General features: G+C 51.1%; 1 long non-coding RNA gene across 1 annotated transcript in view, besides 2 other annotated features; it reads left to right on the forward strand.

Moving 5' to 3' along the window:
- LINC00269 (long intergenic non-protein coding RNA 269) overlaps positions 1 to 12,400 on the forward strand; it is a 30,368-nt gene extending 17,968 nt beyond the window's left edge. Inside the window, exons 2-5 of the long non-coding RNA NR_103715.1 lie at positions 3,953 to 4,108; positions 6,808 to 6,925; positions 7,367 to 7,503; positions 10,728 to 12,400. This is a non-coding gene — a long non-coding RNA (long intergenic non-protein coding RNA 269). The remainder of the gene's footprint in view (positions 1 to 3,952; positions 4,109 to 6,807; positions 6,926 to 7,366; positions 7,504 to 10,727) is intronic.
- Positions 19,690 to 20,189: an enhancer, noted in NCBI's record as "H3K4me1 hESC enhancer chrX:68437057-68437556 (GRCh37/hg19 assembly coordinates)". NCBI's record gives its function as "activates a minimal SCP1, AML or CMV promoter by ChIP-STARR-seq in naive H9 embryonic stem cells {active_cell/tissue: H9 hESC(naive)}" and the evidence as "EXISTENCE:reporter gene assay evidence [ECO:0000049][PMID:30033119]".
- Positions 24,832 to 25,603: an enhancer, noted in NCBI's record as "H3K4me1 hESC enhancer chrX:68442199-68442970 (GRCh37/hg19 assembly coordinates)". NCBI's record gives its function as "activates a minimal SCP1, AML or CMV promoter by ChIP-STARR-seq in primed H9 embryonic stem cells {active_cell/tissue: H9 hESC(primed)}" and the evidence as "EXISTENCE:reporter gene assay evidence [ECO:0000049][PMID:30033119]".

Raw genomic sequence — 27,146 nt, forward strand, 5'->3', positions numbered from 1 at the left:
TTTCTCCCTGTCCTCGAGCTTTGCATTCAGGGCCGAACCTACTGCTGGAGAAGTCCCCGCCTTCCACCCGAGCACCCATGGATCAGCTGGTGCCCCTACAGCTATCCTGGTGGAAGAGCCACCCCACTTCTGGCCCACTTCCTTCTCTTTTAATAGCATGTGTGAAGAAGAAGCTGTTGGTGCCAAAAAGATTCCAAGAAAATAGGTAGGCCCAGGCCAGGCAGCCCAAGCTGCTAATGCAAAGAGGCAGCTCCTACCCTTCCATCAAAGCCCTGGAATCCAGAACTGCAAAGGCCCCAGGGAGGAAGTAAAAGGAAGCTGAGTTGCTAAGTGGCCTGCCCCCATCCTCCACCCCACTGCAGATGCCTGGCTGGCTGGACAGGAGGGCACTAGCAGAGGAATGATGATAACCATCCCTCCCATCTGGACGGCCCTTTCACACACCACTAACAGGCTTCCCTCCCCTTCTCTTGTCCCAGCCACACAAAAGGCTTGGTAATTATCCCCAGTAGCCAGATGGAGGCTCAGAGAAGACAAGAAACCTGCCTGAGGTTGCACAGCTAGTTGGTGGTGGTATTAAGCACAATTTGCAATCCAGGAATCCATGTCCCGTGCATATTCCCCTTAGCTTTCACCTGGCTTACAAACCCAGGCCTTGGACTCCTGGATCTCTGCCCCAGCCAGAGGGCAAAGAGGATAGGGCACCCAGGCTGGGAGGGACTGTAATAGAAGAGGGTTTAAGATGGGGGAGGGCACTGAGGACCAATATGACAGAAAAAAGCAAGTCTACCCCTGTCCCAAGTTTCCCTCATTGCCCTCTCGACTGAAGAACTTTCTTTAGCTTTTCTTTTAGAGCAGATCTGCTGGAAACACATTCTCTTAGTTTTTCTTCATCTGAGAATGTCTTTACTTCTGCTTCCTTCTTGAATGATATTTTCACTGGATATTGAACTCTCTGGGTTGACAGTTCTTTTCTTCTGGAATTTAAAAAATACTGTGACACTTCCTCTGGTCTCCATGGTTTCAGGCAAGAAATCCACCATCATTCATACTCAGGTCTCTTCTGACTTCAAGGGCCTGCTCCAAAGGAGGCCATGCAGGGTAGCAGAAAGAACTCTGGAGGACTGGGAGTTGAGCCACAGCTCCACCACTTCCTATCCATGTGACATCGCATGAGTCCCTCCACCATTCCCAACCTCAGCTTTTACATTGCTGCTATAAAAGGGTGGGACTGGATTGTCACACTAAAGACCCTGACATTCCCTGGGTCTCTGAGAACTATCCAATTCCCAGGGGTGCCAAGCTCCTGATGATGAGGAAAGAGACCCCACAGAGACACCCTCTGTCCCTGCTTTCCTTGGGGGATGTGGCTTGAGTCCTGTACTTTTTGTTCCCTCGACTGACGCCTGCCCTGGCCTCACCTAGCCCATTGAGGCAGGGAGGGTTCTTAGGATGTTTCAGGCTTCCCAACCCAGCTCTCAAATCCTGAGCAACCAGGGGAACCCTCTCTTTCCCTCTCGTCAGGGCCATTGCAGAGCACTCCTTCAGTGGGCAGGGGGGCAATCTCCAGGACCATCCAATGTCTCTCCCCATCCTACCCACCCTACAGTACAGTCTGACTGCTGGGCTCTCCCAGACACTGCCATGCTGTTTTCATGCTTCCATTTTGTTCCCTTTGCCTTGGAAATCCTTTCTCCCTTGTCTACTTGGCAAGGTCTTGCAGAAGCAATACTAGCTCTTTACTTCTCTCTGCCTCAGTTTTCTCATCTGTAAATTAGAGATGACAATAATAGTAATAATACCTACCCCATAAAGTCATTGGGAAGATCAAACAAGCTACTCCCTATGAAATCCTTTGAACAGTGGTTGGCCCATAGTAAATATTCAGCAGACACTAGCTTATTATTACAGTTATCATTAACACTATTATAGTGTGATGGTTAAGTGCACAGACCTTAGAATCAGACTTCCTCTGTACAAATCCCCTGTGTCAACTTAACCAACTACTTGACCTCTATGTGCTTCAGTATTCTCATCTTTAAAAGGCGGTTAATAATAGCCCCACCTCATAAGGTTGTTATGAGGATCAAATGAGACAACACTTTGCACAGAGCCTGACACATAGTAAGCCCTCAAAAAATGTTAGCTGTGATGATAAGGATGCTCATCAACAATTCAGCTTCCTTTCCTCTTGAGAAAGAGAGGCAGCAGGTACTCTTGGGGAACGTGTCCACTGGAACATGAGCTAGGGAGAGACATCCATGCACCCATGCAACTCTTAGACCACATCACGTTCCTGGTTCTGGCTTGTGAGATTCCCCACCTCTGTGACTTCATGTGGCCTGTTCTCTATGCCTAGGTTGCCCTGTCCCCAGGCCAAGTTCCAAGGCCTCACCTTTGGGAGGCCTCCCACAGTTCCTGCATGTTGACTGAATTCCAGGTTCCTGTAGGACACACCCAACAGGCCATCTGAAGCTCTATCCGATGCTCCCCAAAGTCTGCTTGGGGTGGAGTTAGTTCTGCACTACAGCCCTTGATTCTAGTCCTGGCTCTGCCCCCTGACTTTCTGTGTGACTTGGGGTCAGTGTCTTTTCCTTTCTGGGCCTCGTTTTTTTTATCTATAACATGAGAAGTTTGGCTCAAATGGTCTTTAAGGTTTCTCCCAGATGGGTAAATCCTAGCATTACTCACCACTGTCATCCCAGGGCTAAGCTAGTCCAGTGCCTGATGTTAAACATTTGATAGGGACTCAGACTGAACTAAAGTGGACTGATTATAGAACCACAGACAAATGCCTCGACCCAGTCCCTCCCATACCTCCTGTACGTCCTGTCACCCAGGCTTTAGCCATCCTTGGCTGCCCAGCTCCCCAACCTCTGCAACTCAGGGCTTGAGGACAGAGCCTAGCTGCTGCCTGAAGGCTGGGCTGCTGGGGCCCCAGCAGGAATGTTCCTGGGCTTATTTTGGTCCCTTAAATTAGAAGGCTGGAGGTTCTAATTTACAACTCCCTGCCTGGAGCGGGAGCCTGGGCTGGGGTGGCCTGCCTCAGCTGCCAAGCATGAACCCCACTCTAGACCACAACCCAACCTCAGAGCTGCCTGTGGCTATTCCTGCATAGCAACAGCACAGACAACAAAGGCCCCTTAACCTTCCTCTTCTAGCGGCAACTATAGCAGTGGCTGCTGCTGCCTTGGGACTCAGCAGGATGAGGTACAGAACAGGGAATGGGCTGGCTAAGTCAAAACACTAGGAAGGCACAGATAGTTCCTGTGCCCACACTGGGCACTCACCCTTTGGGCATCTTGGCAAGGCCACAGGGGCTGCCCCCACAGAGCTAGGCCAGACAGAGAAATGTGGCCAATGGAAACTAAGGCCTGGGACCTAGAGGGCCACTGAGCTTTGAGGGAAGAGCCAGCTGTTTTCCATCTTCACTGAGGACTGAGGGAATAGAAACAGGCAGGAAAAACAGTGAGAAGAACCACTGGTTTCAAAAGACCAGCTTTCTATCCTAGGCATACTGTGGAGAGGTGACTGGACCTCCAGCCGTCCTCCTTCAATCCACTCTCCAGGCTGCCATCAGAGGTACCTTGCCAGCAAAGACCTGATCGGATTATTTCTTTAATTAAAACATTTCAATGGCTCCCTATCGCCTACAGGGGAAAATCCAGCCTTTCATTCAAGGAGCTAAGGCCCTTCACAATGTGGCCCCAGCCTACCTTTCTGCGCCACTCCCAAGGCCTCTCCTACCCCACACACCCTACAATACAGCCACTCTGGCGGCTGGCTTTCCCCCAGACCTCCCATGCTCTTTCATGCCTCCATTTTATTCCCTCTGCCTGGGAAGTCCTTTCTCCCTTGGCTCCTTAGCAAACTCTTTTTTATGGTTGAAGCCTCAGCTCAAATATTCCGTATTCAGGTACAAAGGTAACAGTTTCCTCTCTTGTGTTTCCAGTGTTTCCCTCAGACTTTTATTCATTCAAGCAGCATGTATTGGATACCTACTATACAACAAGCATTGTTCTAGGAACCAGGGATACAGTGGCAAAAATGACAAGCCATAGACCCTGCCCTCATGAAACTTCATGTAGAGGAGACATACAGCAGATCGGTAAGCTGACAAATACATAAGATGATCTGAAATAGTGTTGTGTACAGGGTGTACTGGAAAATGCTGAGTGATCTGCTTAAAGGAGGGCATCTGCGGCACCTGCTGACTTCTGTGGTGCTGACATTCCCATCATGGCTCATCTCAAGCTGGCAGTGTGAAGTCATTGAATACTGAGTTGGGAAGAGCCAGTGAAAGCCAGCTCCAGCACATTGGTACATACTAAAAAGAAAAGAAAACCAGTTAATAGAATAGAGAGCAACTGAGGCACAGACGCGGGGAGTGTTGCTAAATTCAATTAGGTGCGGGGTGGGGCCAGGGAAGGCCTCTTTGAAGAGGTGACATTTAGGGGATGGCCTGAATGACAAGAGGCCAGTTATGCAAAGATCTGGGGGAAGCTCTTGGCACTTTTGGTTTTTAAAAATACTTTTTCTATTGAGGCATAATTTCCATACATTAAAGTGCACTAATCTTAAGTGTACAGCTCCATGAATACTTACATATGTATCAGCCTCTGTAACCACCACCTAGGTCGAGATATAGACCATTTTCAGCACTCCAGAAGGCTCTTGTGTGCCTCTTCCCAATCAGTAATCCCTGTCCCAAGGGAAACTACTATTTTGACTTCTCTCCCTGTAGGTTGGTTCCGCATGTTTTTGAAGTTCATATCCATGGAATATAAATATAGCATGCCATAGTATGTTCTTTCTTTATGCTGTATTTCCCTCACTTAACATCACATCTGGGAGAGCCGCCCATGTTGTTACATGTTACATGTGGCCATGTTCTTTTTCACTGCTGTGTGGTATTCCATTATATGACCCTTTCCTGGTACCTTCCATGTTAATGATGTTTCCCTGTCTGTCTCCTCCTCGGGGCCTGAGACAGGGCAGTGTAACACAGCACGAGCAGCTATGAGCTCTGATGTGGGCCCGACCACTGCTGAGCTCAGGGATGTGGAGTCCTCTTCTCTGAACAGGATGTTCCCTTCTGTCTTTGTATCCATGAAACAGATAGTGGCAAGCCTTCCTACAGATGTAGCAAAGAGTTAGCAAGATGATCCACAGCAAGCACTTAGTGGAGGCCCTGGTCTGGAGGGTCTGCTCAAGGGCACCCCAGGTGCCTTCTCCACCCTTGGCCTGTGCATTTGGCAAGCAGCAGGTATAGTTCGTGCATGCATGTGGGGGAAACACAGCACACATATGATTGTATGTTGTGCTGTGAAATGACTGCCGAGATTGCTTTGGGGATGGTTGGGGTGAGGGACAGGTTTGAGGCACCAGAGGCACTTCCATTGCTGAGAGTGCCCGGAATGTGAGCTGCCACAGAAAGGTCTTCAGTACCCTCCCCACTAGGCTGGACCAGGATGTATAGAGGGAAAGAAAGAGGCAAGGGACTTATGACCCCTGCCACAGCGCTTGCACAGGAAGGAGTGCAGAGCATTCTTGCTGGGGTCTCTGCTCCCTCCCTGCACTCCGCTTCAATTTACAGTTGCATGAACTTAGGTTTGGAGAAGTAAGGTCAATTTCACATAGCCTAGAAAGTGTTGGAGGAGAGATTCAAACCTAGGTGTGTTTAACTGAAAGCCAGTGGGTTGAGGGCATCTTGTGAGACCTTGAGGGTGCTGACCCAGCCTCAAGGAGACAGAGTAGCTGGGCAAGCAGGCTGGGCTCTGGCCTGGAGGAAGGCCTTGGGCCTGGTGCTGCCAACTGCAGAAGGGCTGTCTGGGGAGCCCCTACCAACACATCCCACATAATGGGGCTCACCTAGGCATCACATCCTCTTTTTTCTCCCTTTACTCCCGAGAGGAGACAGTAAGCAGTGGAAGAGGAGTGCCTAAAAAGAAACACGTGTCCTCAGCATTCCAACTACAGCTCCCTGCCTGCCCACTCCCCTGCACCTCCCCCTCACTTCCCCACCAGCCCCTGCCCGTGAGCAGCCTTGTCCTTGGTGCTGCCACCTCTGGCTCTCCCCATACCTCCAATTTGTTTCCAGAGGCCTTGAAGGCCAATCTTTCTTCATGACAGAGCCTCGTCCTTTAGCCTCTCATTATCTCTCTCTTTCCCTGGCTCCTGGGAGCCCCAGGCCAGGGAGGGAGAGTGATGGGGTGGGGACACAAGAACATGTGGCTCCCAGTCCTGACTCTGCCACAGATTCCCTGCATGCCATTGGGTCAGTCCCTTCTCTTTTCTGGCCTCTTTCCCTATCTGTGCAATGAGCCAATCTCCAAGGGCCTTGTCAGCCTTGCGTTTCTCACCAGGCAGCAGAGACTCATTGCCCTAATGGAGAGAAGCAGAATGAACTCCAGCTCGAGGTCAAGAGCAGACCTGGAGGCAGAGAGGAGGCCAACTGGACTGTGTTCAAAATGGAGGGCTGATTCAGGAATAACGGCATAAAGAGGCTGGGATCTGCTCACCCTGGGCCCCTTTTCCTGTGACTGCTCCCTCAATATGCGTTCAACAAGTCACTATGGAGCAGTAGCTCTGGACCAGGCAATGAGTTAGGTGCAGCAAACCCTTGGTTCCTCACTTTGGCCTTACAATTCCAGCCATAGCTTCTACTTCTCTTCCCTACAGACATGGAGGAATTTGGGGCCTGATCATCCAAGGCCACACAGAGAATTAAAACCGAAAACTGGGCTCAAATTCTCATCTCCTAACCACCACTACCTCCCCACACCTTGTCAAAATTTTTCTCCCTAGAATCCTAGACTCACTGTCTGATCCGGAAGGCACTTTAATCATGCCTAAGAGCCTGGAGATTTATAAAGGAAGCTGTAACTGGGAAGAATCCGGCCTGCTGGGAAGCTGCTTCTCCCAGGTACCCACAAGCAAGATACATGGCTTCACTCCTCTGTGCCCCCACAGTATTTCGTTTCCCCATGTAGGCACATCAGTGGGTGCAGGTTGCCCCCTTTCATCATTTACTCACATGCTTGTCTCTGGCACTGAGCAGAGCCTGTGTCTCCTCTATCTCCGTATCTCCCAGGCCTGGGCCAGGCAGACATGGGGAAGCAATTCAGTGGGTGCCCGTGGTGTGGAATTGACCATGTTGCTCCTGAAACACAGTTTCTTTTTCTCTCTTTCTTTTTTCTTTCTTTCTTTTCTTTCTTTCTTTCTTTCTTTCTTTCTTTCTTTCTTTCTTTCTTTCTTTCTTTGTCTTTTTCTTTCTCTCTCTTTCTTTCTTCTTTCTTTCTCTTACCCTCTCTCTCTTTCTCCCCTTCCTTCCTTCCTTCCTTGCTTCCTTCCTTTTTTGAGACAGGGTCTTGCTCTATTACCCCGAGTGGAGTGGAGTGGTGCCATCTTGGCTCATTGCATCGTTGACCTCCCGAGCTCAAGTGATCCTCCCACCTCAGCCTCCCACTTTTCGGGACTACAGGCACACACCACCACAGCCAGGTAACTTTGTATTTTTAGTAGACAGGGTTTTACCATGTTGCCCAGGCTGGTCTTGAACTCCTGGCCTCAAGCAATCTACCTGCCTCAGCCTCCCAAAGTGCTGGGATTCCAGGCGTGAGCCACTGCGCCCAGCCCCTGAAATGTAGTTTCTTCTGTGCCTGCCCTCAGTGAGTGAGCTCTGGAGACAGGTGCTCTGGATTTGTGCAGTGGTTCTGTCACTAAGCCCAACTTTCACAGTGACTTAACCTTTCTGTGCCTTGCTTTCCTACTGGTAAAATATCAGCAATTACAGTACTGATTCATGGGGTTGCTGTGATGCACCCCAAATAGTGTCTGGTACATAGTAAATGTTCAGTATTTATTACCACTATTACTACTGCTCCCAACCCTACTACTGCACTCACTACTACTACCGTTTTAACTTAAGGATGTATGAAGCTATTTCCTAGATAGGCTTCCAGAAGTCGATATTCCTCATATATGATTGCCAGCCTAAAGGCTGTGAACTAGCCTCCTCTTCTCCAATTTTCTCATGCCTAGGACTCACCTGGGGATCTCATTAAAATGCAGGTTCTGATTCAGCAGATCTAGGGTGGGGCTAGAGACCCTGCACTTCTAACGAGCTCCCAGGTAGTACTGACACTGCTGGTCCAGGGACCACACTTTCTATAGCAGCCCTTGCCAATATTAACTACCAAAGAGAGCTACTGTCTATTGAAAATCCAGTAAGTGGCAGACCCTGTGGAAGTGCTCCACATGCATTATCTCCTTGAATCCTTGCATCAGCCCTGAAGGGTATGTATTTTCATCCCTATTCTACAGATGAGAAAACTGAGGCTCAGATAAATCAAGTGACTTTCCCAAAGTTACACAGCTTGGAAGTGGCAGAGATAGGGTTTGAACTCAGACCAGGCTGACTCCCAACCCCCATTTTTTTCCATTCTTGCAAACAGCCTCCCTGTGGTGTGGCAGACCCCAGAGGATGTCTGTCCCCCCACAGAGAGAGGACTGCAACACAGCACCTGAAGTGATAGCAAAAATCACTCTCTGGGCACAGCTCTTTAACATATCCGAAGCACTTACCTGCCCACCACAGGCCTGGTAAACAGGCAGGGCAAGGACCTGGATCCCTGTTGAAGCTGGTGAGGACTGAGAGCTGTTGGGGTGGGTGTGAGGGCACGCAGAGGGTAGAGGAAGGCCCTGGCCTGGATTCACCAAGGGATGGCCCATGACCCAGGAGCTATTCCTCATCTCTGTATGCTCAGGAATCCTCCAAGGTTGCAGACTCAGGGCCACTGAATGTCACTGGCCCAAAGCCCAAGATGCTGAGGTCTCAACCAAAGGACCCATTTTATGCACTGGGGGCAGGACAGCAAGCCAGCAAGAAGCCCCTGTGTTCTCACTGGCTTCTTACCATGAGGTAAGCCCTCAGCCTCAGCAGAGAGAGCCTGTTGCTTCTGGCAGCTCTGTGGTCCAGGGCTGCTGTGTCCCAGCCAAGCCTAGAGACATCCTCACACCTTCTGGCTCCCTGATTATGCCCATTCCTTTTCCTGACTAGGCCCATAACAACCTGTTTTCACACAGTGCATAAGACGATAAACATGTGCTACTCTCTTGGGTCTTTCCTGGGTCTCCTAACGGGACCATGGATCTGTTGGGTATCTGAGAGACAGGTTTCTGGGGTCGGAGATTCCCCTAGAATTGTAGGTAAAACCATAGGGGGATGTGACATTTTAGAAATGGCTATTCGTAGCTTTTACTATTCATCTACTGATTTAGCAAATATTGATTGAATGCTTATTTTGTGTGGGGCACTGAGTTGGGCACTAGGAGTACAGTGATGAGCGAAACAGAGATCCCTGCCTCCAGGAAGCTTCCAGTCTAGGGAGCAGTCAGTGAACAAGTAAGCAAACCAATAATATCTACACGTAAGGACAGATAGTGATGCTGGGTTCTGTCTAGTCCAGTGTCATTCACTACATAAACAGGCACTGCTAACATTTTTGAAGGGATGCCTGAGTGAGGGCCAGGGTGAGGGAGGGGCAGGGCCTGCCAAAGGTCAGACCCCCAAAACAGACCCTCAGGCTTCAGGGCATGCATGTGGACCATCGCATGCATGAACTGTTTAAGTGGGCATGGAGCTAATCAACAGAGCTGCAGAAGAGAATGACCACCTTGGGCCTGGCATGTTTTTTGGTGACCAAAAAAGCCACCCCCACCTCCATTCCTATACTGAGCTTATCCATTTCCAACACAGATTGCTCATGGGGGAACCTCACCCCACACCCCTCTTACCCCAAAGGCAGCCGTTCTCCCTCTAGCCTGCTGGGTGGGCTCTGGACCTTCCTTGGGCCTCACTCCTGAGAAGGTCCAGCTGGTGGGTCCAGCTGGGGATTTCAAGGACGATGGGGCCCATCTGGAGGGAGCTTGGAGTGAGCCAGAGGGGCCAGTAGGGAGGAAAAGCCCCTTGGGAACAGAAGACTGGGCTGGGAGGACTCTCTCAGAATGATGCAAAGAAGAAAAGGAAAGGCCAGGAACCTGGGCTGGCATTCATGAGCGCATTCTGAGGCCTGAAAGAACTCTGAGAGGTCACCTTCACTCATCCCACCTTCATCTAGGATGCACTTCCACTGTATCTGAATCTATGTCAGTGTGCAGTTTCTAAAGACTCCTGGCTGGCGAGTGAGCCCTCTCCCTGCCCACTGTGCCTTAGCACTCTTCTCTTTCTTCTCTGGTGGCTCCTGTGGCCCAGACACCAGGCACTGTGTGGGGAAAGGTAAAGAGTGGATCCACAGCTGAAGAAGTCCTCTCTCTGTTCTAGAGGACTTCAGTCTCATGCAGGAGACAAAGCCTAAAGAATTTTCTTGGATACAATGTGGTCAGTGCTTTCGGTCTTCTGATGAGGGAGAATTATGTCTGTGGAGGGTGGGGTGAGGGGACCAGCAGGGAGAGTAAGGAAAGGCCTCCCAGAGGAGGCATCAAGAAGAAGTGAGAGGCTCTATGGGCAGAAGGCCATCCCAAGCTTCCAGAGAGCTGCCTGCTCTGGTCAAATCCCCATTCAGATGTTCAAGTCCCGTATACCATGTTTCAGCCAAATGCTTGCCCAGCCTCTCCTTTCCCACTTCCCGAAGCAGGGAGCTCATTCCCTCTCAGGACAGAGATCATTTCAGGACAGGCCTAACTCTAAGAAGTTGCTTCCTTTTTTTTTTTTTTTTCTTTTTGAGATGGAGTCTCACTCTGTTGCCCAGGCTTGAGTGCAGTGGCACAATCTCGGCTCACTACAACCTCCGCCTCCTGGGTTCAAGCAATTCTCCTGTCTCAGCCTCCCAAGTAGCTGAGACTACAGAGGCATGCCACCACACCAGGCTAATTTTTGTATTTTCAGTAGAGACGGGGTTTCACCACGTTGGTCAGGCTGGTCTCAAACTCCTGACCTCAGGTGATCCACCTGCCTCAGCCTCTCAAAGTGCTGGGATTACAGGCGTAAGCCACAGTGCCCGGCCCAAAAGTTGCTTTCTCCAACTTTTGGGCTGAACTCTGTCTCTTTGTGGCTTCCATCCATTGGTCACAGTGCTGCCTCTGGGGGCCACCTAAGCTCTGTCTTCTCCCTCTGCCCTCCAACAGCTTCTTAGAGGTCTGAAGCATCACCATAGCCATAACCCCTGAGTCTTCTCCAAGCAAAACAACTCCACTTCCTTCAACTGTTCTTCATGAGACCAGGGCCCCCGCTTTCTCCACAGCATGCTTTTGCCTCCCTGGTCATGCTCCAGTGTGACTCTGGTACCCTTAATATGTGGCACACAGAGCTGACACCATATTCCAGGGCAGTCTGTCACCTCCTTGTTCTTGAAACTTTACTTCTATACTGCCTACAGATGCAGCTGAAGGTTCCATGGATGTATTTGGTCAGACCATGCATATGACAGTCACCTCCTCACCTCTGCTCCTTGCCCTCTCACCTGGTTCCCCCTTGCCAGCCTACATTTGAGGACTGGATCCAAGAGCAAGACCTAACATTTCTCCCTGTCGTATTTACTTTGTAAGCTTCAGCCCCTCCTTCTAGTCTGTCAGGAATGGGAATGTTTTTGAAAACAGACTCTGAAAGCCAATGAGATGTGCTCCTCCTGCCCACAGTTGGACCCAGGCTCCATATTTGATCAGTGAACAGCCACGTCCGCACATGTGCCACAAGGCATTTGTCTGCAAATTCATCCGGAGACCTTGACAGATGCCTGGAGGTCAGAAATCAGCCTCCTCTATGCTGCCATGTGGCCCCAGGAGCCTGAAGGAAACACCAAGTACATCTAGAAGTTGATGGTTGACCGATGGGAGAGGGGGCAAGATGCCAGTCACTCAGTCAGCCAACCTTTCCTGAAGATTGTTGGAGGCTCCAAGTGACATAGGGGATAATGCAGAGAACATTCAGAGACATCATCTACTGCCTGTGCGCTCTGGAAGTTTCTAGTCTCACAAAAAGGAAGACCAGGGAGGCCCTTAAGAAAATATAGCAGGCTGAATAATATCCCCCAAAGATATCAGGTCCTAATCCCTGGAACCTGTAAAAGTTACCTGATTTGGAAAAATGATCTTGGCAGATGTGATCAAGTTAAGGGTTTCTAAATGCAATCACATAAGAGGGAGGCAGAGGAGACTTGAAACAGATGGAAAAAGAAAAGAAAAGACCACGTGACCATAGAGGCAGAGATTGGAGTGAAGTGGCTACAAGCCAAGGAATGCTGGCAGCCACAGAAGCTGGAAAAGACAAGGACCAGATTCTCCCTTAGAGCCTCTGGAAGGAGCATGGCCCCATCAACACCTTGATTTTGGCCCAGTGATACTGGCTTTAGACGTCTAGCCTCCAGATCCGTGAGAGAATACATTTTTGTTTTCTTCAGCCACCAAGTTTGTGGTCATTGTTACAGAAGCCACAGGAAACCGAGATAGGTAATGAGGGAGGTCCACAGGCAGGTGAGGGGCCTGGACCACGACCAAGGTGGGCCAGGCAACTGATGGCCATAAATCTTAGGCAAGGCTTCCTGGAAGAGGCTGGAGCTGGGATCTCAAGAGTGATAGAGGAGGGGGCTTGGCAGAGGGAAGAGACAGGGCTCCCTGGGCTGTGACAATTGAGCAGATCAGGCCTGGTGTGGCCAGAGATCACTGAGACTGCAGAAGTGAAGGGGGGTGGTGTGTATGTGAAAAGGCCACATCCTGCCAAGTTGCCACTTTACGTCCTTCCCAGGGGAAAATGAGCAGAACCCTGCGTCGCCAGCAGGGTGGCCCTTGGTCATCCTGCAAAAAGCCAAGATGTGGGGTCAGACAGACCTGGTTCTAGCACCACCACATACTGGTGCCTGCTGCCTCCCTGAGCCTCAGTCTCCCCATCAGCAAAATGGGGATGATAATATTGGTATAATTTCTAAGGATACTTTCTCATTTTCCAGCTTTCCCTTGTTGTCGCATTTCTTCTTTAAGCTAGATGTTCACAGGCAAGAGGAGGGCTGCTGCTTTTAAATGAAGGGATGCCAGGGCGGCATGGAAATGCCAAGACCCCCCTCCTCGGGATGAGGTGGGGGTTGGGCAAAACAGTAGCTGGCTGTGATTCTGTGCACACTGAAGGCCAGTGCCCTCCCTGCTTGCCTCCAAGAGCTGCCCTGCCAGGGCAGGTGCCCCTTCTTCCCCATAGGGCCTGGCTCCTCCCTCCTGATGTCTGCCAGCCCAGCTCCCAGGCAGCCTCAGGAAGGCATGGAGGAGAGTCGAGCTTGGCTATTTATAACATGGGATGTGATAAACACTTCCAAGAGATATTTCCCGATAGACCAAATTCAACAGAGATTACATAAGCAATTAGATCTTCTGAGCTTCTTTTTGCACAGAGGCTGCCAAAAGCATGTGTGAGCAAGTCTTTCTTTATAGTCATACATTTATACTTTATGAGAATGTAATTGAAATGTTTCAGGTGAGCAAGCCCACCCTCCCTCCCTGCTCCACGACTCACCATCTCCCCCCAGCTGCCACAGGCTGGTTAGGGGACCTTGGGGCCTCTTCTTCTCAGCCAGCTGTATGTTCCTGGCCAAACTTCTGCCCCTGTCTGTACAAATACAGGGCTAGACAAGCTGGCGTCTTGAAGGATGTTGGGAGATTTGAGGACTCCCATGCCAGGGGCTGTGGGAAGAAGAGCACTAGGCAGGGAGCCCCAAGCCTGAACTGAAGCCTTACTGCCCCCATTGACTTGCTGAGTGGCCTCAGGCAGGACTCTTGCTCATTCTGTACCTTGTTTTTCCTTCTGTACAATGGGGAGAACAACCCCTAGACCATAGTGCTGTCATGAGAATTATGTGAGAATGTATATGTAAAGCTCCCACCCTGGTCTACGGTAGGTGCTCAAGACATTCTGAATCCTAGGGTCCCTTTCCTCTCTCTGGTCCACCATGGGCAGAGAGGACGGTTAGTAAGGAGTTTGGCTCCTGGTTCATCTGGCCTACCCTCACTGGACTCACCTTCCTCTTATGCCACTTGCTTCTCCCCAAGTGCAGACGCTGCTTTCTCACCACACCTGATGGCTGCGGTGGGCCTTAACAGTGGGAGTTGTCTCTTGCTAAGGGTGAGAGCTGTCTACTTTCGACAAGGGTTGCGCCTCCACTTCTTCCTGGTCCAAGTGCCAAGACTCAAGCTGATCCTCAGGTGCTGGCCCTTCCCACCACAGTAGGATCTTTTGTCTGTCAAAATGTGCAGGTCCAAATCCCCCAAAGCCTTACAGCCAGCAGCCCCTGGGTCCTGGCTCTCATAAGTTTAGCTGTCATGACTTGACACACAGTGGCCCAGCAGGCCCGCCTGCCCACTTTGTCCATGGGGGAACTGGGCAGGATGGCTGGCTGGCAGCAGCCCAAGGTGGCTGGGGTGCTGAGAGGAGGCCTGACCCTAATTATCCTCTCCTTCCTCAGCTCTGGTTGTCCTCTTCACGAACCCTGAGCTCCTGCCACACTCAGTTGCTTACTCTGTTCTTCCCACCTCCAGGCCTTTGCCTGTGCTGGTCCCTCAGCCTCTGCTCCATCTCCATGTAATAGGTCCCTACTCATCATACAGGTCCCAGTCCAAATACTGACCTACTCTGCAAAGGCAACGATCTCCAAGATCTGCACTCCCAGGGGCTTAGTGTGTCACCCTCTCCTGGTATCAGGGTGTACTGTGGGTCTATGCTCTCTGTGGTCCCCTGTGGCTAGCCTGGAGCGCCTAGCTCAGAGGAGATGCCCTGGGGTATTTTGGGCAGTAGGATCAGGGTGGTCAGTATGGGGGACAGTGAGGCAGGTGGAATCTCTTCCCCCAAGGCCAAGCAGAAATGGGCCAGCATAGCTGGGGGCTCCTTTCAGTGGAAGAAATGGAAGCGAGGGGTTGAGGGAGGGTGGAGCCTCTTAAAGCTAAGATGTGACTTTAAAGGCATTCAGCAAGCACTCAAAGAAGGTTATTGTGGGACCCCTGGAAATACTTCTGCTGTGTAAGTGGCAAGGGGTCTGTTTTAATGTGGTGGACAGAAAACTGGCCCTGGAATCAGAAGACCACCATGCAACCAGCTATGTGATCTTGGCCAAGTCACCTGTTCTGACTCTCAGTTTCTTCATTGTACAATGGCATAGGAATCCCTACCTTACATGGCTGTTTCAAGAAGCAAATGATAGCATGTGAACACTAGTCAGGACCGAAACAAACCACCATTTCCCTTCCCCACCAGGCCCTCCAGGGAGCTCACAATGTATCTGGGGGCCTTATCCAGTAGAGCCCAAGTAGATTCCTAAGTGTTGAGGGCCTCGAAGTTGAGTAATGAGTTCTTTTTTTGTTGTTGTTTGTTTTTTGTGACAGGTTCTCACTCTGTCACCCAGGCTGGAGTGCAGTGGTGTGATCTCCGCTCACTGCAACCTCTGCCTCCCAGGTTCAAGTGATTCTCCTGCCTCAGCCTCCAGAGTAGCTGGGATTACAGGCGCCTGCTACCATGCCTGGCTAATTTTTTGTATTTTTAGTAGAGACAGGGTTTCACCATGTTGGCCAGGCTGGTCTTGAACTCCTGCCCTCAGGTGATCCACCCACCTCGGCCTCCCGAAGTGCAGGAATTACAGGTGTGAGCCAGCACACTTGGCCGAGTGATGAGTTCTTAAAGGGACATCTTATGACGACAGAGGTCACGGGAGTGAGGATAAATGACTACAGCATAGATGCAGGTAAGACAACAGGAAGAATTCTCAAATGATGAGGACTTGGAACCAAGAAACTTTTAGAAAGGAAAGATCCTGTAAGGAATTGACATCTGAGCTCAAATCTGTATGACATGAAGGACCTGGCCATGAGAAGTGGAGCAAGTGTGTTCCAGACAGAGGGAACAGCAATGCAAAGGCTCTGAGGCAGGAACCAGCTTGTAGGTTCAGGGGCACACAAGAGATGAGTGTAATTGGAACAGAGTGAGTAAGGGGAAAGTGATACCAGATGAGGCCAGCGGTATCAGCAGGGGCCACTCTGGAGAGCCTTGTAGGCCATGGGTAAGGACTTCACATTTTCCTCTGAGTGACATCGGAAGCCTTGGGAGGGTTGTGAGGAGGGGAGTAACATGACTGACTTAGGACTGTCACAAATCATTCAGCTTTTGTGTGACTAACAGTTGGGAAGGGACAATCCTAGAAGCAGGGAAGCTGAGAAAAGGCTGCTGATCCAGGCCAGAGGTGAGAGTGACCTGGACAAGGATGGCTGCAGTGGAGGTGTGGGGAAGAGATTGGGTCTGTGATTTATTTAGAGGTAAAGAAAGAATACTTACACTGGGCACGGTGGCTCACATCTGTAGTCTCAGCACTTTGGGAGACTGAAGTGGGTGGATCACTTAAGGTCAGGAGTTCAGACCAGCCCAGACAACATGGTGAAATCCCGTCTCTACCAAAAATACACAAATTAGTGGGCGTGGTGGTGTGTGCCTGTAGTCCCAGCTACTCGGGAGGCTTAGGTGGGAGGACCACCTGAGCAGCAGAGGTTACAGTGAGCCGTGATGGCACCACTGCACTCCAGTCTGGGTGACAGAGTGAGGCCCTGCCTCAAGAAAAAAGGAAAAAGAGAGAACAAAGAACGCTTACTTGGCATCTATTATATGTGCATCCATCATCTCACTGAATCCTCCTGACTGCCCTGTGAAGTCAAGCTCATTTACCTCCACTGAACTGAGGAGGAAATTTAGTCTCAGACAGGCAAGTGGCCTGCCCAAAGTCACACAGCAAAGTGGCAGACTAGGACTAGGAGCCAGTTCTGTGTGATTCCAAAGCTTACATGCTTTCCATGACACTGTGACTGGGTCCTGGGCTAGGTCCTGCTTTCCCCGACATCAGCTCTCTGAAGAGGAGTTTCTTGCCACTGCTATGTTCTAAACCCGGCCTGGAGCCCTGTTCAGCCCACCTGATTCTCCTCCCTCACTCCTGAGACCAGCCTTCATGTCTTCATCTGTAAAATGCAGGGACAGCCCATTGTCACTATGGCAATGTGAGGGCTAAATGAGATGGGATGAGATAGCAAAAGCTCCCTGTCTAGGGTCTGGCACACTCCCTTCCCTCTTCCCTCTTAGCGGCAGGATTCACCTGTGGCCTAGATGCCCAGCAAGCTGCCCCCGCTGCCCTGGTGCTCCCTTCCCCACCCAGTTCCCCACTGAGAAGCCAGCACCCCTAGGCAGGGCCCTGTCAGGCACACGCTCTCCCTTGTTCTCGCTGTCCATTCCTCGTGGCTCAGGCAGATGGGATGAGTCCTGTCATGCAAGAAGGATGCAGAAGCAGGAAGAAAAGCTCACCTCCTCTGGCATGATGTTTTTTATTCCCACCAAAAACAAACGTAACTGACACTCACTCTGTGGGGTCCAAGCCCCTCTGGGGAAACAGAGAGGGAGCAAAATATCCATCCCATGCCTTTCCTCTCCACATCCCAACTCTTCTGCCACAAAGCCTCAAGAATACTTCAAACCAAAAGGAAGCAATGGCTTGCTCTCGGTGCAGCACTCTTACGGTACATCTGGAGAATCTCAGGCTCAGGAAAAAGGGACTTGGCCAAGAGCACACAGCTACTTAACAGTAGCACCAGAAATGAAATCCTCGTCTTCACTCCTAGAAGTGTGCCTTTGCCTCTCGTCGTGACCACACGGCAGCCCGCAGGTACCTGGCATGTGAGCCCATGTGCCCCTGACTAGCTTCCACTATTCTATGCAAGGGCCACTCAAGGGGCATTGGTGGGGGGTGTCTATGTTCAGCATCTCTTACAAGCCCCTGACCCTTGCTCCCTGTCCCCAGGACAGAGGTTCCATCCTGGGTCACCCCAGAGTAAGGACTCATTCCCCAAGCTGCGTGGATCAAGGGCCCAGGAACGGACGCCACTACTGTTCTCTTGCCTCAGCCACCCACCTCCATCCCTGGAGACTGGCTTCTCCCCGGATTACCTGGCACCCACTATGCCCCCTCTTGGCAGTCCCATCATTGACCCCAACCCAGACTCTCTCCTACTCAAGCCAGGAAGAGTGGGAGGGCACACAGAGGCCATGAGGAAACTCGTGCTGAGCCGGCCCTTGGGGACCTCATACTGGTGAGCAAGAAAGGGGCCATGGCCTCTGGGGGTGAGAGAGCCAGCGCGGGATTATGGGCTCCTCGCTCGGAAATGATTGGTCGTGACAAGCTCACTGCAGGAACAAAGCCATGTGAAATTGACCTCATCACCAGCGATCAGATCAGATTGTTTAGTGTGAGGGGAATGTGAGGGGGTGTTCAGCTAGGCGATGACCTAGTTAGGGCCTTAAAGAGGCAGAGCAGCTGCCCCACTCTGGGGAGACAGAGGCAAGAGGCCTCCCAGGGGAAGCCCCCACTGAGCTGCAGGTAGAGGAAGACCCATTCCCATGCAGGCCTTTCAGCATCTCCAGAGGGTAGCTGAGCACCTGGGCTAGGGTCTAGCCTCAGGGGACTAAGGGACAGTGATAGAGGGGGCCAGGGTAGGAAGCAAGGGCAGAGTTCCTATACTTGTCCAGGGAGATTAATGAGATAGAGCAAAAACTGGGGCAACTCGGAGGGTAGAAGTTGGGGAGATCCTAGGGGACAGGAGTTGAATTTATTTAACAATTATTTGTTTATTTACTACACCTCAGATGCTATTCTGAATATTTTACATATATTAACTCAACCCTCAAAACAACCCAATGAAGTAGATACAATTATGATGCCCATTTTATAGATGGGAAAAACTGAGACTTGCGAATCTATTATGTGGCCCAGCCTGGGCTGTCTGGTTCTGGTGTCTGTGCTATTAACTGCTGTATTCTACTGCATTGCCTCTCTTTGACAGGGTTGACCAAATGTGGCAGGCCAGATAGAAACTAGGAGGAGGTTCCCAATGCCTTTGAGGCCTTTCTTTCCTATCAGGCCCTAGGGGCACCAGGAGGCCCAGAGGCTGGGGCAGGGAAGAGGGGTCCTGTCGGGAACTTCAGGAACAGGTGCCTGTTTTCTCCTTGGATCCTGTTTCCTGACACTTGCTTGAGGAACCAAGAGGGGAGGGAAAGCAAAGGCACATGTGGTCAGCTGGGCAGAGCAGGCTCCTTTCTGCCAAGTGCTGCCTTAGGGAATATGATTTCTGCTGCCTGAGAAGTATAGAGGGATGCCAGAGAGGGGGCAGGACTTCTGGTGGGCACATGGTGTTAACTCTTTCATCTCTGATATGTATGCAAAAAGCTTAGCACAGGGCCTGGCACAGAGAAGTAAGGCACTCACTAAATGTGCAACAAACAGCAAAATCCACTGGGGGTAGGGCCAGAGCAACAGCTGCAGCATGAAGGATCCTGGTTGGCTTCTGGGAATCATTCCAGGGAGACCAGAAATCTCCCCTTGAGGGCTTGAAGCATAGAGAGACCCCTGCCACCCCAAGGAGTTTGGAAGCACCTGAGGCCAGTGCCTGGGTGGAATCTGCTGGGAGTTGCAAGTGTGCCGCTCTGATGGAAGTTGAGGGGTAGATACAGAACTGGTCTGGCCAGGCTAGGCTGGGCCCCTTCCTAGTTTGGTGCAAGCTGAAGAGCCCAGGCTGGCAGGATCTCAAGACTTCGTGCCTGCTCGCTAGGAAGTATGTGGCTGAAAAGCACTCTTGCTACTCCCGGGCGCTGGGCTGAAGGAGCTGACTCAATGCTCTGTGCCTCTCTTCTTACAGGGCATCCAGTCCTGAATGTGCCCCCAGAGCAGGCCTCTCTGCTCTCTGGCTCTTGGCTGCCCAGTTCCCTGGGCACCTGAGGTCTCCTGTCAAGGGCTTTGGGTCTCAGGCAGGGACGGGCCAGCCTGCCTCCTGCCCTGGCCTTCTTTCCAGCTGCCTGCCTACTGTCCCTATGTCCTCAGGCTGGGCCAGTTTCCATTCCCCCACCTTATCTCAGACTGAGGTGAGGTGGGACATGACCTGGTGGGACATCATTTCTGACCAGTAGCCCTTCCCTGGAATATTTCTGATGCTCCTGCCAACTCCCTCCCCAATTTGGTTTAGGATAGGGATGCCCTCTCCCAGGATGCAGCACAACTACAATGGGTTGGAGGGCCTCTCATTCTCTCCTGAGAGCCCACATTGAGAGAATGCAGGCAGAAAAGGACCTTAATTCTTCGGGGAGACCTCTGAAGGACTGCCAAAGGGCAGAGGGAGCTGGAGTGACCTGGATGATCCCAAGGACCACAATTAAGACCTGTGGGTGGAAGCCACAGAAATAGTGATTTTAGTCCACTTCCAGAAAAGACCTCCTGTCAGTTTGAGCTGTTCTGCAAGGGGATGGCTGAGTCAGGGCCTATCGATACCCCCGTCCCCAGAGGTTTGGAAGTAGAGGCTGGATGGACAACCATGACGGATGCTGTAATAGGGCCTTTGAAAGGAGGGTGGGACTATTCTATCCCCATGTCCTTCTCTGTGTTTTTTGTTGCAATTGCTACAGCCCCATGGGATGTTGTCCTCTGGTCAGCTCCCCTCAACAGAATACCTATGCAAGTTCTTGAAGTTAAAGACAAACAAAAAGGCCAAGAGCAAATTCAAGACATGGCTTTGGGGTGGAGGGAAAGAGAGGAGGAAAGAGACAAGGAGAAAATAAAAGTGTGGGGTGGGGGGCAGCGCAAGAGCAATGACAGAGAAAGGGAGATAGATAAATAGAAAAAGGGCCAGAGACATCAAACCAGAGGCAGGGACAAAGTTGGAGACGGAGAACTGTTTCCTGGACTTCATTCTCCTTTGTCTCCAGCCCAGTGGCATTGAGGTTTCTGAGGAACATAGCTGACCCCTAACCCTATATGTTGCTTCAAAAGTGAAGGAGTGGCCCCCAAGGGCAGCTGTGCCAGTTGCATTGGTCAAGGCCTTGGAACATGCCTGGCCTGGGCCACCAGGCTTCTCCTCAGTTGTGCCTTTGAGCAAAGAGAGGCTTTCAGTGGGGCCCCAGAGGCGCCCAGGTGGGAAAAGCCAAGAGAAGGCTCTGGGGGAGATGGTCTCTGACCTCATACATCTAAAGAGCTGCCACTGGGTAGAGAGGGCAGACTAGGGTCTGGTGGCCCCAGGGTACAGAGCTGTGATCCACAGGTGGCAGCCACACAGAGGTAGTACTCAGCTCAATCCAGGGAAGGACTTGATAGTCATCAGGGCTTTTCACAGAGGGATGGAGTAAGAGAGGCAAGAGAGGCTGGCTGACCTCCTGGTGGTGGAGTGGGAGGGCCCAGGATTGCATGGAAATGAGACTAGACAGCTTCAGAGCCTAAGAGAGGAGCTGATTCTGTGATTCCCTGTGTACTGGGTGACACATCTTTCCAGCCCAAAGGAGAGAATCCTGCGTTACTTTACATAGCCAAGCTTTCTAACAAGGCTTTTACATAAGAATGTTTCTATGTTTCTAATCTGAAGAATTTGCATGTATCTATGTTGTAATCTCTATGACTATGTAACTATCTATCTATGCATTTATAAATTTCCATAGCTCTGTATCTCTATATCTATCTATATATCTAAATGCCTCTATATCTAAGTAACTATAGGTCTATTTATGCATCTCTTTGCTCTATGTCTATCTATTCTCTATGCATCTCTCTCTCCACTTCTGAACGATCTCCAGGATGGAGATCCTGGAGGTTTAGAGCCCCCTGCTTCCTCAGCTGCCTCTGTCCATGGCCATTGCCCACCTTCATGCCAGTTGTTCAAGGCCTGCCCTCCTGGCCTCCTTTCCCACAGGACAGTGGCCGTCCCGGGCTTGGGCCAAGGGGTTACTAGGAGGATCCTGGCCAAAGTCCGGAAAGCCATCCTTGCAAGCCAGAAGCAGCTGCTCTGCCTGCATTTGGGGGTTAGGAAGACAGGAGAAGCAGGAAGAGAATTCTGGGGAAGTGTCGGGGAGGGGAAGTGTGGGGGAGGGGAGGGTGGGAGACAGGGAATGTAGGAGCAACCGAGCACTTGTTAATTTTTATTATGGGAGGCAGAACATCCAGATTAGTGGCCCGGTGTTGTCATGTACTTGCTGTGTGATCTAGGACAAAGTCCTGTCCTTCGCTGTGCTTTAGTGTTTCTGTCCACACCATGAACATCTTTAAGGATCCTTCTGGAGCTGCTGTCCTGGAGTTTGGTGACAGGGCAACGGTCATCAAACTTTTAAAATCATGAACTCTTATCACTAAAGCATTTTGAGCACACCAACTCAACATATTCACAGAAATTTGTTTATACACAATAGTGATTAAGAACACAGACTTTGGGCCTGGCCTGTGTGAGTTTGCATGCTGGCTTTTTGCTTGGGCAGGTGATTCCATCTCTTTCCACATGCTATGGAAAGTGGAGCTGGTAATACTACTTACGGCCATAAGGTGTTGTGAGGATCTTGTGAGTTAATGCATGTGGTGTCTGGGACACAGTAAGTGTACATGTGTTGCTATTATTATACATGCATTACTTTACTAATTGATTAGGTATATCACAAATGACATGCTGAACGTCAAAACTGTTAAAAGGTGAGGTAAAAATAAATAAAACATATATTGTGATATTTTTCTCTCATTCCCCAAATGGGTTGCCTGGTACAGTTGGAGTTGGAGGTGACTGTTGTAGAGTTTGGTTGGGACCTCTTCTCTCGCCTTCTGACTGACTCTACTAGAGGAGCTTGAGTTTGACAGTGGGCCCCCAGGAGCTGACTGGGATGCCCCTCACTACACAACCACTCCTGGGGCTGCTGCATCTTTCCAGGAGTCCCAAAGGGAGCCCTACTTCCCTAGACCCCAAGGGCCAGCGCCATCCCAGGGACCCTCCCACACAGGCCCCCAGGCTCTGCGGCCCACACATCAGGCCTCTGATTTTTCCACAGACCAGAGCCTGGTGTCCAGGTGGAGTCCCTTCTTCTTTCCCTCAGCATAGCCGGCCTCACAGGGTAGGACACCAACCTCTGAACCACAGATGAGCAAGCCAAGCCCAGGGCTAACAGTTGGCATGAATCACTATTTATCAAATTCATAATAAGAGCTCACCACTAGTCGGGCGCGGTGACTCACGCCTGTAATCCCAGCACTTTGGGAGGCCGAGGCAGGTGGATCACAAGGTCAGGAGATCGAGACCATCCTGGCTAACATGGTGAAACCCCGTCTCCACTAAAAATACAAAAAATTAGCCGGGCGAGGTGGCAGGCACCTGTAGTCCCAGCTACTCGGGAGGCTGAGGCAGGAGAATGGTGTGAACCCCGGGAAGTGGAGCTTGCAGTGAGCCAAGATCGCTCCACTGCACTCCAGCCTGGGCGACAGAGCGAGACTCCATTTCAAAAAAAAAAAAAAAAAAAAAGAAAGAAAAAGAAAAAAGAAAAAGAAAGAAAAGAGCTCACCACTGGCCGGGTGCGGTGGCTCACAATTGTAATCCCAGCACTTTGGGGGGCCAAGGCAGGTGTATCGCTTGAGGTCAGGGGTTCAAGACCAGGTTGGCCAACATGGTGAAACCCTGTCTCTACTAAAAATACAAAAATTAACCGGGCGTGGTGGCAGGCACCTGTAATCCCAGTTACTTGGGAGGCTGAGGCAGGAGAATCGCCTGAACCCGGGAGGCGGAGGTTGCAGTGAGCTGAGATCGCGCCACTGCACTCCAGCCTGGGTGACAGATCAAGACTCTGTCTCAAAAAAACAAAAACAAAAACAAACAAACAAACCCTCACCATTACTGAGCGCTTTGTTAGGCACTTTCTTAAGCACTTTACCTGCGCTGTCCCAAGTGTCTCGTGAGGCAGGTGCTCTTATTCCAATGTGACTGATGCTGGAGAGCACATGGTGAATAAGCCAGGGAGCCCGAAAAGACTTCCAGCAGTGTGACTGGAGAGCAGCCTCTTAACCACCTTTTGATGCAGAATGAACGAATGAGGGAACGGGTTCTCGGGCCCCCTCCACACTATTCCAAGTCACCTGCTGTTGCCTTCCTTAAGTCGGGGCTTATCCAGACCCCTCAGCTTCCCCGCTTTTTTTTCTCCCGGTCTCCAGGTCAGCAGGTCCAAGGCTCTTCCGGCGCCCCCTCCCCGTGCCGGCAGGGCCCCCTACCTCCTCGGAGCCCCGCCCCTCCGCGGCCGACCCGCAGGTAATCCCCACCCCCATCCTGCCCCCAGAGCTGCAGCCCCTTCCAATTAGCCCAGGCTCGGAGCTTCTAGGCTGGGACCGGCTTCTCCCCTCCCGCCCCTCCCCCACCTGGCTCCCACGTGGGGAGCCCGGCTCCCAGGCCTCGGCGGCCCCATTCACAGCGCCCTCCTCCATTGTCCTCGCACTGTCACTCACGCATGGTATTAGCATTTCTAAAGCCCCCTTCTCCGCGTCGCCGCTGTGGCCCAGCCAAAAAGGGGCTCACTTTGAAACGTAAGTTTTGGGAAGGGGTGCTTCCTAGGCTGCTCAAAAGCTTATCTTTGGGTCCTTTAACTCCGGGCCTCAGTGTGTTCGCCGATGAAATGGGGAGAATTGTTCTCCCTCATCTCTAGGCTCAAAACACCTGGAGCTTCTCAGCTCCAAGAGTGGTTGAGAAACAGGGCGGCCCCCAGGGGCCCCAATCAACTGCCTGTCCCTTCCTCTGGGTTTCCTGAGCCCTGCCAGTCTGGACCCTCCATTTCCCACCCACGTGCCAGGGGACACATGGAGTTTTGTCAAAACTGGTTTTCCCTGCCCTAACCCAGGCGCCTTTGTTAAGGGCCTGGCAGGATGGGGCATGAATGGGGGTGACTTCTTTGCCCTGGCATCTGAAACCCGCCTAAACACTTGGATGGAGAGACAGCGCCACCCAGTGGCTGCCTGGGCTCTATGCCAATGTTCCCTGGGGTGGGTCCTCGCATACCTAGCTTCTGGGCTGGTAACGGAGGAGTCTCACCAGAGAAACCCTTTTCACTTGTGGAATTTCATTTACATTCGTTTAGCTGCTTCAGACCCCAAGCTAAATAAAGAGCTGGTGGTTAGAGTCCCAGCCGGCTCAGCTCAACCTCACACCCCACCCCACCCCTCTCATCCCTTGACCACCCTCACCACCCCTGCCCTGAGGCTCAGTCCATGGGGCTGGCGATGGCTCTTGCTCTAGGCTTTTCACCTCCCTGGGCCTCACTTTTCTCCATCTGGAAAATGGTAGAATATTCCCCAGCCACCCCCTCCTCCTGGTGGGCTGGGGAAATGGGCACTAGCTCGGGAGTTCCCTTTTTGTGGGGTGAAGGGGGGTGTGGGTATGAGGGCCAGGCAGTCCTCCAAGTCAGTTGGCCACCTGGACCCTGAGAATAGGCTCTGGCCCCATCCGTACACCACTGCCTGGAGACCCATCAGCTGCTGACCAGCCCCTCTGAATACCAGGAAAATAGGACCACCCCTCCCCCATGCCTGCTTTCTTTCTTTAGTTCCTACCCCCTGCTTCTAGCCTCTTCCTGCTTCCTACCCCCAACCCTGCCTGTTCAGCCGTATGCTACAGGCTGTGGGCATTTCTCTTCAAGCCTCAGAGTGAGCAAAATGAGGCAGGTGACCTCTGTCTCCAGTTAAAGTCCCCTCCATATCCAGTTCCCTTCTGGAGCCCCTTTTGAACCTGCTCTGGCCGAAGCAAGTGTAGGGACCAAGGCAAAATTTCAACTTCACCCTTGGAAGTTTCGCTGAAAAATCAACTCACAGAAGGCAGATTAATCAGAGAAAAGGCATACAAATGTATTAACATGTGCACAGGGAGAATCACGGAGTGATTACCCACGCCCGCAGTGGGGGGCAGAAGCTTAGATACCATCTTGAGGTTACACAAAGAATGGGGACTTGGATCGTGGCAAACAGGTTATGGGAAGGGGGAGAAGAGGAATTCTGCTGAGGGGCAATAAATGATTACCAATGAGAATGACTGAATTGGGGAACACAGATTAACGTGTAAACAGTTCTCTTTGGAATTTAAACGACCCTGAGAGACACGTTATTCTGTGAAAAGAAACCAAACATTTTTGGTTTTCTTTTCTGCAATAGATAATAAGATAACAGGGAAGGAAAAAAAATTGTTCCCCTTGGAGGGTCTGTCCGTGGGGACAACGTACCCCACGTTGTAGTGGGGGGGGAAACATCCAGTGCCTGTTGATGTCTAGAGAACTTTAATTCAAAATACTCCTTATACCAGGGAGCCATATTTTGGGGTGAAATTCCTTGTGCTCCTTCACAGGCAATGAGGAGAGAGGGAACCAACAGTCGGCCCCAGAAGTCTGGAGTACCCAGCCTACATCCTCCCGAAGCTCCTGGCCTTCTCTGGTGGAGTCTCCCTCTGCGTAGGAGAGGGCAAAAGGGCTCCAAGCTCCCTCTGGCTTGGGGAGACAGAGGAGGTGGACTGGGCCTAGAGCTTCTTTTGTCTGAAATCTGCTTAGGCCTCCAGAAATACTGGACTGATGGAGAGAGTAGGAGAGAGGAGGAGGCTCGGTGGGGGAGGAGGAAGCAGAAGATGCTCAGCTCTCTGATGAAGCGTCACCTCTAAGCAGGCTCCAACCCAGACTTTTCCCCAATCCAGCAGGAGGTAGCAGCGAAAAAGAGCTGAGAGCAGGCCCAGCAACATGGATCTGCAGCATCAAGGGTAGGGCCCTGCTGGTCTTCAGCCCCTCTAGCTCTGCTCTGAAAAAAATCAGAGGCCCTGGGACACCTAGGTGTGGGTGTGGGGTATTTAAGGGGAGGCCCCCCATCCCAAAACAGCTCTATTCAGTCTGTCATTTTTATTAGAGTTCCAAATAAGATTTTACCTAGAGAAAATATGCCACCAAAAAATAAAATTTAACAAACCCTGATTTAACCCATCCCTACATTTTACAAAGGGAGAAACTAAGGCCTAAAAAGGTAAATTAAGGTGGTCCTGGCATCCAGCATAAGGCATTGCACCCACGAACTCCTCAATCAACACTTGTAGGAGGAGCAATTGAATGCCATGAAATTTTCAGATAAATTTAAAGCATAACTGAATTCACTTTCAATGTATATATGAACACACCACAAGACCTGCCACCTTCTCAAGCTCTCTAAGTAAGTTATCATACAAGCAACAACAAAGAAACTTAAGAATTTGCTCAAATGTTGGGAATTACCTAAAATCGGAGTGAACTCTCTTAATTGAGGTGTAAGCAAAGGGATCATTTCTAAAATTGCCTAATTGTCCTTGCC

This window comes from Homo sapiens, chromosome X (assembly GCF_000001405.40).
Source record: "Homo sapiens chromosome X, GRCh38.p14 Primary Assembly".
Lineage (NCBI taxonomy): Eukaryota > Metazoa > Chordata > Mammalia > Primates > Hominidae > Homo > Homo sapiens.